The following is an 11,937-nucleotide window of genomic DNA, read 5'->3' as shown; positions in this document are numbered from 1 at the left end:
ATTTAGGGGGTACAAGTGCAGCTTTCGTACATGCACATATTTCATAGTGGTGAAGTCTAAGCTTTTAGTATACCCATCACCCAAGTAGTGACATGGTACCCAATAGGTAATTTTTCGGCCCTCACCCTGCTCCCACCCTCCTACCTTTTGGAGTCTCCAGTGTCTGCTATTTCACTCTGTATGTCCATGTGTACCACTTGTTTAGCGCCCACTTATGAGTGAGAACATGTGGTATTTGACTTTCTGTTTCTGAGTTAATTTATTTAGGATTATAGCCTCCGGTTCCATTCATATTCCTGCAAAAGGCATGATTTCATTCTTTTTATGGTATTCCATGGATATATACCACATTTTCTTTACTCGATCCTTCACTGAGGACACTTAGGCTGATTCCACATTTTTGCTATTGTGAATAGTTCTGTGATAAAATACGAGTGCAAGTATCTTTTTAATATAATTTTTTTCCCCTTTGGATACATACCCAGTAGTAGGATTGCTGGATCAAATGGTAATTCTATTTTTAGTTCTTTGAGAAATCTCCATACTGTTTTCCGTAAAGGTTGCACTAATTTACATTCCCACCAACAGTGTATAAGCGTTCCCTTCATTCCTTTTCTCCACATCCTTGCCAATATCTGTTGTTTTTTTTTTCTTTTTTTTCTTTTCTTTTACTTTTTTTCTTTGGAAACAGTGTCTCCCTCTGTCACCCAGGCTGGAATATAGTGGCGCAATTATTGCTGTCTGCAGCCTCAAACTTCTGGGCTCAAGCAATCCTCCCAGGATCAGCTCAGCCTCCTGAGTAGCTGGGACCACAGGCATGTGGTTTTAATTTACATTTCTCTAATAATTAAAAAAACATTGACTTTGAAGATTTTTTTTCCTCTGGTAAAATGTTATTTGATAAGACAATGCTTATAGGTATAATTTTGTATTATTGGTCATATAAGAATTGATTAGCCACTTGAACTCTCAAAGTACGAAGTGAGAAAGTCAATCTTTTAAATGTGGAAGTTATTTTTTGAATGATCTCTGAGACCCCTTTTAATGGCATGGGAACTTAAATGTATGTTGTGTATGTGTGCATGCATGCATGTGTGTTAAGATGGGTTTCACATCTGAACTTTGCCATCCAAATATACTTATACATATCCTCATGGTATTGTTGTTCATGGGTGATGAACAATATGGATACTTTGTAGCTTCCTTTTTACTTTTCAAAAAATAGTCTTATTGGCCGAGCATGGTGGCTCACACCTGTAATCCAAGCACTCTGAGAGGCCGAGGTGGGCAGATCACGAGGTCAAGAGATCAAGATCACCCTGGCCAACACGGTACAAAATTAGCTGGGCATGGTGGTGCATGCCTGTAGTCCCAGCTACTCAGGAGGCTGAGGCAGAAGAATCACTTGTACCCAGGAGGCAGAGGTTGCAGTGAGCCGAGATTGCGCCACTGCACTCTGGCTTGGCGACAGAGCGAGATTCCGTCTCAAACAAACAAAAAAGTCTTATTACATGCTATGATTGGTACTTACGTCCAGATAGGTCAAGCTCTACTATTGTAATTAACCCTGAAATCTAAGTGGTTTAAAATCACAAGGAGGCTGGGCGCAGTGGCTCATGCCTCTAATGCCAACACTTTGAGAGGCTGAGGCAGGTGAATCACCAGAAGTCAGGAGTTCGAGACCAGCCTGGCCAATGTGGTGATACCCCATCTCTACTAAAAGATACAAAAATTAGCCAGGCTTGGTGGCGGGTGCCTGTAATTCCAGCTACTTCGGAGGCTGAGGCAGGAGAATCACTTGAACCTGGGAGGTGGAGGTTGCAGTAAGCCAAGATCACACCATTGCGCTCCAGCCTGGCCAACAGAGGGAGACTCTGTCTCAAAAAAAAAAAAAAAAAAAAAATCACAAGGTGTTTGTTTCTTATCACAGTCTTAGTGGGTCAGTCATCTCTCTTTCATGGCTCTCCTTCAGGCAGTGACTTAAATTTCTAGGCTCCTTCTGTGAGGTCACCATCCTAAAACCATGACCTTTGGGTCACTGTGGAAGGGGAAAGAAATTGAGGCAATTGTACAGTGGTGGAAGGGGGAAGGGAGCATTTTATGGCAGGCCTGGAAATAGTATATATTATTCCACATCCTATTGTCCAGGATTCAGTGACATTCCCCTAACATCGTTACACAAGAGGCTGGGAAATATAGAAATCTAGTGTACCTAAGATAAGAAAATGAAATGGAGTTTGGTGAACACATAGCATTGTCTCTGCCTCAGTGGAAAGGCAACTTCTTGGACAGAAAAGTGAAGAGGTACAAACTACAACTATGTTGTGACTAGCTACAGTTTCATACAAAATGTAAAATGTCCCTAATTCAGTATGTACACTTCCTCTTCTACATAAGGGATTATTAGGGCTTAGCAGCTTCCAAATTGCAGTAGTCTAGTCTTAGAGCCAGTGGTCAAAGGAGAATGGGATTACTAAATTGTCTTCATATTCCAATAATTGAATGGCACCCGGGTACTTCTTGGATGGATTCTTGATGTTTTACCTTTATCTTCAAGAATTCGCAGATCATCTTCTCTGTATCCTCAGTGCATGTTAAGATTACTAAACTTAGCCAGGTACGGTGGCTCATGCCTATAATCCCAGCACTTTGGGAGGCCAAGGTGGGTGGATCACTTGAGGCCAGAAGTTCAAGACCAGCTTTGCCATAATGGTGAAACTCCATCTCTATTAAAACACCCAATCCCAAAAAAAATCTGTGGGCATGGTGACTCCCACCTATAATCCCAGCTACTCGGGAGGCCAAGGCATAAGAATCACTTGAACCCGGGAGGCAAAGGTTGCAGTGAGCCAAGATCCTGCCACTGCACTCTAGCCTGGGTGACAAAGTGAAACTCTGTATCCAAAAAAAAAAAAAAAAAAAAAAATTACCAAACTTATAGGAAGCACAACGATAAGGGTCATGTGTGTTTCCTATCATGTAGAGGACTAAGCTGGAAATTACATGATATAGGTTTGTTGGCCTACCTTTAATTTTTCACTATATAAGAATAGGATTGGTCTATAAAAACTTAAGAAGTATTTGTGGACTTCTTGTACTGGACATGATGAAGTAACTAGCATCAGACCTTCCCTCCTGCCATAAACAACTATTAAACTAAACAAAATGTACAGAACAATTTCTTTTGGGTATGGGATAAGGCACAGTGCATGACTATAATGCTTGAGAGAAAAGAAGCTCAAAATGAGAATTTTACATTCAACCTTGGGGGGCAATTTTCCAAACCACTTTCAGAGAATTGGAGTAGATAAATAAATCGGAGTTTGGGCCTGCAGAGGTTACTGGAAATTACAGGACAGGGTATGTAGATAGAAAAGAGTGACAAAGAAGGAGCCCCAGGAATCTACATAGGAGTTTCCTTCGGGCTCTTGGCCAAATGCTAAACTGCATATGTGCTTGGCAAGATTCTGTAAGATATACCAGCAAAAAACAGCTAGAGGAGCTGAAAACTAAACCTAGATTTCAGAAGTTGCACAAAGCTATGAAGACATTGGAGTTCTGATCCACTCAAGAGTGGAGATACCATGTTGAGACACCAAAAAGACCATGCCCTAGGAGTAAGGACCATGCCATATGAGTAAGAGCCAAATCCTAGAACTAAGGAAAACTGGAAATAGACTCACCACAGAGGCCTAAAATAAACCTCAACAGAATCAAAGTGATCTACCAGTAATTTAACTTTCTTTCAGAAAAATATTTGACACTCTTCAGAGGAAGATAACAAAATCCAGATTTTTTTTATGTCCAGCATAAGATTTTTAAAATTGCTGAACATGTAAAGCAGCAGAGGAAAAACTGACCCATAATTAAGAGAAAAGGTGGTCAACCGAAGAGACTTACAGATGACCAAGATTTTGGAATTAACCAGAAGGACTTTAAACTCATAAATGTTTTAAAATGTAAAAGATCTTTCTCCTGTTGAACCTTATATGAGACCAAAGCCCTGCCTGGCAACTTGACTGTAACCTTATGAGCGAGCTTGGCCCAGAGTCATCTAGCTAAGACAGCTAAACCACACGCAGATTTCTGACCTACCAGATACTGTGAGATAATAAATTACAATATGTAAAGGAAAAGATTGAAGAAATGGCAAAAGAGATGGATGAAATTGCAATAGAAAAAGAGAAACTCAGCTGGGTGTGGTGGCTCACGTCTGTAATCTCAGCACTTTGGGAGGCCAAGGGGGGCAGATAGCCTGAGCTCAGGAGTTTGTGATCAACCTGGGCAACATGGTGAAACTACTCTACTACACAAAAAACAAATTAGCCAGGCGTGGCAGCATGCACCTGTAGTCCCAGCTACTCAGGAGGCTGAGGCAGGAGAATCACTTGAACCCATAAGGCAGAGGTTGCAGTGAGCCGAGATCATGCCACTGCACTCCAGCCTGGGCAACAGAGTGAGACTTGATCTCAAGAAAAAAAAAATAAAAAAACCAGAAAAAAAAGAAAAGAAAAAGAGAAACTAAAAAGAAAGTCAAATGAAAATTCTAAAATGGAAAAATATGGTAATCTGAAGTGAAGAATCCAGTGGATGGGCTTCCCAGCAGATGGACACAGCTGAAAAAGGGATGAGTAAACTTAAAGACAGGCTAATGGAAATTATCCAAATTAAAGCACAGAGAGAAAATAAAAGGAGAAAAATAGGACAGAGTTATAGAGAACAGAGGGATAATATAAAATAATCTAACAGGTATAATGGAGAGAGAATGGGGTAGAAAAAATATTTGAAGATAAAATGCCCTCGATTTTTCCACATTTTATGAAAGATATCAACCTACATGTGCAAGAAATTCAGAGAACCCCAAGCACATAAATTATTTGAAGATGACACCTAGGGTCATTGTAGTCAAAGTGCTGTAAACCAAAGATAAAGAGAAAATCTTAACTGCATCCAAAGGAAAAATACATATTACATTTTAAGGTACAACAATAAAAATGATGGCTAATTTTTTATAGGAAACAATGAAAACTAGAATGAAAAGACACCTTTAAAGTGATGAGGCTGGGTGCAGTGGCTCACACCTGTAATCCCAACAATTTTGGAGGCCAAGGTGGGTGGATCATCTGAGGTCAGGAGTTCGAGACCAGCCTGGCCAACATGGTGAAATGCCACCTCTACTAAAAATTCAAAAATCAGCTGATTGTGGTGGTGGACACCTGTAATCCCAGCTACTCAGGAGGCTGAGGCATGAGAATCTCTTGAACCTGGGAGGTGGAGGTCGTAGTGAACCGGGATCATGCCACTGCACTCCAGCCTGGGCAACAGAGTGAGACTCAGTCTCAATAAATGAATAAATGAATAAATAAATAAATAAAGTGATGAAAGAAGAAAAGAATTTGTCTACTTGGAATTCTATATCCAGTAAAAATATTCTTCAAAATTGAGGGCCTTCACTTCACCTTCCTCTTCCTCTTTGTCAGAGCCAAGAATTAGGTTGGCACAATCAGTGGGAACAGAGTCAAGAATTTAGCTGGCAGTTTTGGCAGAGACAGGTTTAAGAAGATGGCCTGTATAGTTAGGAGACTGATTACATATGGGTATTGCCAAAAAGTATATTGAGGATAATAGGAGCTAGGTTTTCAGTGTTGGAGAAATTACAAATATGGTAACAGAGGATGCTAGAATAAATCTTGTGGTGTTGGATTGGTATTCGAACTATTGGTGTGAATTATTTGAAATTATATAATTTCAAATTATCTTCCTACAAAATACTTACAAATTGTTAATAAGTACAGATATTTATTAACTTTACAGTGGAGAAATAAGGCACATGCCATCTTTCTAAAAATTGTGGTAAAATCTAAATAATTAAAATTTACCTTCTTTTTTTTTTTGAGACGGAGTCTCGCTCTGTTGCCCAGCTGGAGTGCAGTGGCACAATCTCCGCTCACTGCAAGCTCTGCCTCCTGGGTTCAAGCCATTCTCCTGCCTCAGCCTCCCGAGTAGCTGGGATTACAGGAAACTGCCACCACGCCCGGCTAATTTTTTTTGTATTTTTAGTGGAGGCGGGGTTTCACCATATTGACCAGGATGGTCTCGATCTCTTGACCTCGTGATCTGCCCGCCTTGGTTTCCCAAAGTGCTGGGAATACAGGTGAGAGCCACTGTGCCTGGCCCAAATTTACCATTTTAACCATTTTCAGTTAAACCATGTTCATTTTAACCATGTTCAGTGGCATTAAGTACGCTCACATTGCTGTGAAACAATCATGACTCTCTCTCTCCAAAATCTTTTTGTCTTCCCAAGCTGAAATTCTGTACCCATTAAGCAACAACTACCCATTCTCACTTTCCCCCAGACCCTGAGAGCTACCATTCTACTTTCTATCTTTATGAGTTTGACTACTTTAGGTACCTCATATAAGTAGAATCATACTGTATTTGTGTTTTTGTGACTTATTTCACTTAGCATTATGTCCTCCAGTTTCATCCATGTTGCAGAATGTCCTGTTTTTAAAGGCTGAATAATATTCTGTCATATGCATATATCACATTTTGTTTATCATTCATACATTGATGGCCACTTGGGTTGCTTCCATCTTTTGACTATTGAGAACAGGCTGCTATGAACATGGGTGTAGAAGTAACTGAGTCTCTGCTTCCAATTCTTTGAGGTATATATGGAATTGCAGGATCGTTTGTAATTCTGTTTAATTTTTTGAGGAACTGCCATACTATTTTCCATAGTGGCTGCACCATTTTATATTCCCCCCAGCAGGGCAAAGGGTTCAAATTTCTCCACATCCTTAACACTTATTTTCTGTCTTGTTGTTTGTTTGTTTGTCTTTTATAATAGCCATCCTAATGGGTGTGAAGTGGCATCTCATTGTGGTTTTGATTTGCATTTCCCTAATGATTAGTGATGTTGAACCTCTTGTGCTTATTGGCATCTGTATATTTTCATGGATAAATGTCTATTCAAGTTATTTGCCTGTTTGCTGCTTCTTCTCCTTCTCCTTCTCCTTCTCCTTCTTCTTCTTCTTCTTTTTTAAGAAACCAGTGCTCCCTGTGTTGCCCAGGATGGAGAGGCTTTTCACTACAATCATAGTGTACTGCAGCCTTGAACTCCTGGGCTCAAGCAATCCTCCCATTTCAGCTGGGACTACAGATGTGCACCACCATGCCAGACCCCTTTGCTCATTTGCAAATTGGAGCTGTTGTTGTTGTTGTTGTTGAGTTGTGGAATTCTTTATATATTTTGAATATCAGATATATGATTTGCAAATTTTTTCTACCATTCTGCAAGTTGCCTTTCACTTTATTGATTGTCTTTTCATGCATAAAAGTTTTATATTTTGATGTAGTCCAGTTGCTTTTTTTTTTTTTTTTGACAGAGTCTTACTCTGCAACCAAGGCTGGAGTGCTATGGCATGATCTCAGCTCACTGCAATGTCTGCCTCCCAGGTTCAAGCGATTCTCCTGCCCTAGCCTCCTGGTGTGCACCACCATGTGCAGCTAATTTTGTATGATATGGGGCAGTGACTCACGCCTGTAATCACAGCATTTTGGGAGGCCAAGGAAGGCGGATCACTTGAGGTCAGGAGTTCGAGACCAGCCTTGTCAACATGGTGAAACCCCACCTTTAAGTCTTTGATCCATTTTAAGTTAATTTTTATGTACAGTGTAAGGCAAGGGTACAATGTCAGTCTTTTGCATGTGGATATCCAGTTTTCCCAACACCTTTTGTTAAGAAGACTGTTCTTTTTCCATTGAATGATCTTGGCACCCTTGTTAAAAATCATTTGCTCATATAGACAGATTATTTCTGGGCTCTCTATTGTATTCCATTGGTCTGCATGTATTTCTTCATGCCAGTACCACATTGTTTTGATTACTGTAGCTTTGTAGTAAGTTTTGAAATCAGGAAATATAATTCCTCCAACTTTGTTCTTCTTAGTTAAGATTGTTTTGGCTATCCAAGGGCCCATATTATTTTAATCAAATAATAAAAGTTAACATCACCTGTAATGAGGACAATTGATATTACATGCTGATATGGTTTGGCTGTGTATACGCTGATATGGTTTGGCTATGTCCCCACCCAAATCTCATCTTGAATTGTAATCCCCATAATCCTCATGTGTCTAGGGAGAGACCTGGAGGGAGGTAATTGGATCGTGGGGGCAGTTTCCCCTATGCTGTTCTAGTGATAGTGATCTCTCCCGAGATCTGATGGTTTTATAAGGGGCTCTTTCCCCTTTACTCTCCACTCTTCTCTCTCCTGACATCATGTGAAGAAGCTCCTTGCTTCCCCTTCAATTGTTAAGTTTCCTGAGGCCTCCCCAGCCATGTGGAACTGTGAGTCAATTAGACGTCTTTCCTTTATAAATAACCAGTTTTAGGTATTTCTTTATAGCTGTGTGAAAACAGACTAGTACACATGTCTGCTGATATGATGTACTGAGAAGAACACAGAATCATTTCTGTGGTATTCCTGCCAAAAACAAAACAAAATTACACAAAAAAAGAATAACCTCTCTTGAATGATGAGGATATATCAGACAAATCCAAACTAAATGATATTCTGCAAAGTAATTGGCATGTGTTCCTGAAAAATATCAGGTGATGAAAGACAAAAAAAGGGAATTCATCCAGTTTGAAGGAAATTAAAGAGATATGATAACTAAATGTGACGTGTCATCACGGGTTAGATGCTAGACTTATAAAGATCACTCTTGGGTAGTACAGCCATTATGAAAAATAGAATGGAGTTTCCTCAAAAAACTAAAAATAGAACTACCACATGATCCAGCAATCCTACTCTGGGTATACATCCAAAGGAAATAAAATTAATATGTCCAAGAGAGATATCTACATCCCCACGTTCATTACAGCATATTCACAATAGCCGAGATATGGAATCAACCTGTGTCCATCAACAGATGAATGGATAAAGAAAATGTGGCATATATATGCAATGGAGTACTAGTCAGCCTTAAAAAAGAAGAAATATTGTCATTTGCAGCAACATGGACTGACCCAGAGGGCATTGTACTAAGTAAAATGAGTCAGACAAGAAAGACAAATATCATGTAATCTCACTTATATGTGGAATCTGAAAAAGTTGAACTCGTAGACAAAGAGTGGAATAGTGGTTACCAGGGTCTGGGGAAGGGTGGAATGGGAAGATGTAGGTCAAAGGGCACAAAGTTTGAATTAGACAAGAGGAATAAGTTCTGGAAATCTATTGTACAGCATGGTGATTATAGTTAATAATAATGTATTGTACTTGAAAACTGCTAAGCGTAGATATTAAATGTTCTCACCACAAAAAAAGTATGTGAGCTAATTAGCTTGATTTAATTATTTCACAAAAGATATGTTGAAACATGTTGTACAATGTAAATATGTACAATTTTTATTTTTCAATTACACCTTAATAAAGCTGGGGAAGGGGATGAAGAACATTATCAAGACAAAGTGAAATTTGAGTGGAACCTGTGGATTAGATGATAATATTGTATCAGTATGCATTCCCTGAATCGGGCTCATTATATCTACAACTTATTTTTAAACAATTTAAAAATTATCTGTGGGTCTGACTGTGTGTGGTGACTCATGCCTGTGATCCCAGCACTTTGGGAGGCCAAGGTTCGAGGATTGCTTGAGGCCAGGAGTTTGAAACCATCCTGGGCAACTTAGTGAGACATCATCACTATGAAAATTTTTTTTAAAAGGTTATGGGCCAGGGGCCAGGTATGGTGGCACGTGCCTGTAATCTCAGCACTTTGGGAGGCTGAGGCAGGCGGGTCACGAGGTCAGGAAGTCGAGACCACCCTGGCTAACACGGTGAAACCCTATCTCTACTAAAAATACGAACAAATTAGCTGGGCTTGGTGGCACGTGCCTGTAGTCACAGCTACTCAGGAAGCTAAGGCAGGGGAATTGCTTGAACCCGGGAGGCCGAGGTTGCAGTGAGCTGAGATCGCAACATTGCACTCCAGCCTGGACAACAAAGCAAGATGCTGTCTCAAAAAAAAAAAAAAATTATGGACCAGGTGTGGTGGCTCATGCCTGTCATCCCAACACTTTGGGAGGCCAAAGAGGGCGGATTGCTTGAGCTCAGGAGTTTGAGATCAGCCTGGGAAACATGGCAAAACCTCATCTCTACAAAGAATACAACAATTAGCCAAGCATGGTGGTGCATGCCTGTGGTCCCAGCTACTTGGGAGGCTAAGGTAGGAGGATTGCTTGAGCCCAGGAGGTTGAGACTGCTATGATCCAAGATCATGCTACTGCACTCCAGCCTGGGTGACAGAGTGAGACCCTGTCTCAAAAACAGAAAAAAAAAAAAAAAAAAAAAGATGTGGTGTGTGTAGTGGTCTAAGTATATTTACATATACATAGACAGAGAGATTGATTAAGCAAATGTGGCCAAATGTTAACAATTAAATGTTACCAGCTGAAAAGAGTACTTGAGAGTTGTTGGTGCTATTGCAGTTTTTCTGTAAGCTTAAAATTAGTTCAAAGTACAAAGTTTAAAAACCAGAAAAATGAAGGCCAAATATAGACATTTTTCAGACAAACAAAAGCTGAGAGAATCTGTTGGCAATAGACCTGAACTGCAGAAAATACTAAGGAAGTTCCCGGGGTTTAAGAGAAATGATCCCAGATGGCAGCCTGCATCTGCAGGAAGGAAGAAGAGTGCTAGAAACGGCAAGATTTCTAAATGACACTTTCAGACTGTAATTCAATATGGTGGATTAAGCACATGTGTTTAGCTCCTCTCCCTCCTAACTCCAAAAAACGACTGTAAAGTCTAAAGTTATAAATCCACAAAAATAAATAGAAGACATCAGTTGATTAAGAGATTTCAACATCTACAGGGGTTGGGTGGGAAAAAATATATTTTAAAAAGTAAAAATAAAAAGTAAAAGGATTTCAACAAATTTCTGGAGACTGAAAGTGAATAATGGAGTAAGTATGGGGGAAGCAGGGAGGAGGAAACCTCATTTAAAGAAGGTATGATGGATACTATTGCTGAGGAAACTGTACAGCTGCCCCTCAGAAGCCTGGGGAGGCTTAGAATTCAGAAATTCCAGGTCCTGCAGAGATAGCAAAACATGGGGCTGAAAACAGAGGAGTTACTGGAAAGTCTGTAGGCAGAACATTCAACTCAAACATATCTCAGCAGAGAATGCCTCACTCTTCCTAAGTATAGACAGAGAGAGAGACAGAATGAGAGAGAGAAGGAGAGATTGATTGATCTATTGATTTACAAAATAAATCAAAAAAGTGTCTGGTGAGAGACTGGACAGTGAGCGTGTGAGTTAGTGCCCTGTTCAGTGCACAGCTCTCCTCATTCTGTTTTTGAAGATCCAAAGACTAATGGCTGCTCCCTATCTGCTCATCTGAAGTGACTCCTGTCAGGTGGCAAGCCCTACCATGACATATAACTGATAATGAGTTTTTATATTGCCTTATTCTTAAATGTAGGTGGGCATGATAGACAAAAGTGTGGAGTATTAAGGAAAAAGACCCAGATATATGCAAACAAAAACTACTCCCTAGGAAACATAGTTGATTCAAGGAAAAAATAATTTTATAAAATGTATAATTAGTGTCCTCAGATATCTATATAAATATAGATCTATAAAGATATACCAGAAAACAAAAACACGATGCTATGGGGAAAGACTCAGATAAAGAAATTGCATTTGGGAATAAAAAATAGGATTACCAGGCTGGATGTGGAGGCTGTAATCCCACTACTTTGGGAGGCTGAGGCAGGAGGATTGCTTGAGCCTAGGAGTTCCAGACCAGCCTGGGCAATATAGTGAGACTCTGTCTCTACAAAAAATAAGGAAATTAGGCAGCCATGCTGGCAAGCACTTGTAGTCCCACCTACTCAGGGGACTGAGGCGGGAGGATAGCCTG

The sequence above is a fragment of the Homo sapiens genome, chromosome 8 (assembly GCF_000001405.40).
Source record: "Homo sapiens chromosome 8, GRCh38.p14 Primary Assembly".
NCBI lineage: Eukaryota > Metazoa > Chordata > Mammalia > Primates > Hominidae > Homo > Homo sapiens.
Note: the sequence above shows the minus strand (reverse complement) of the source record.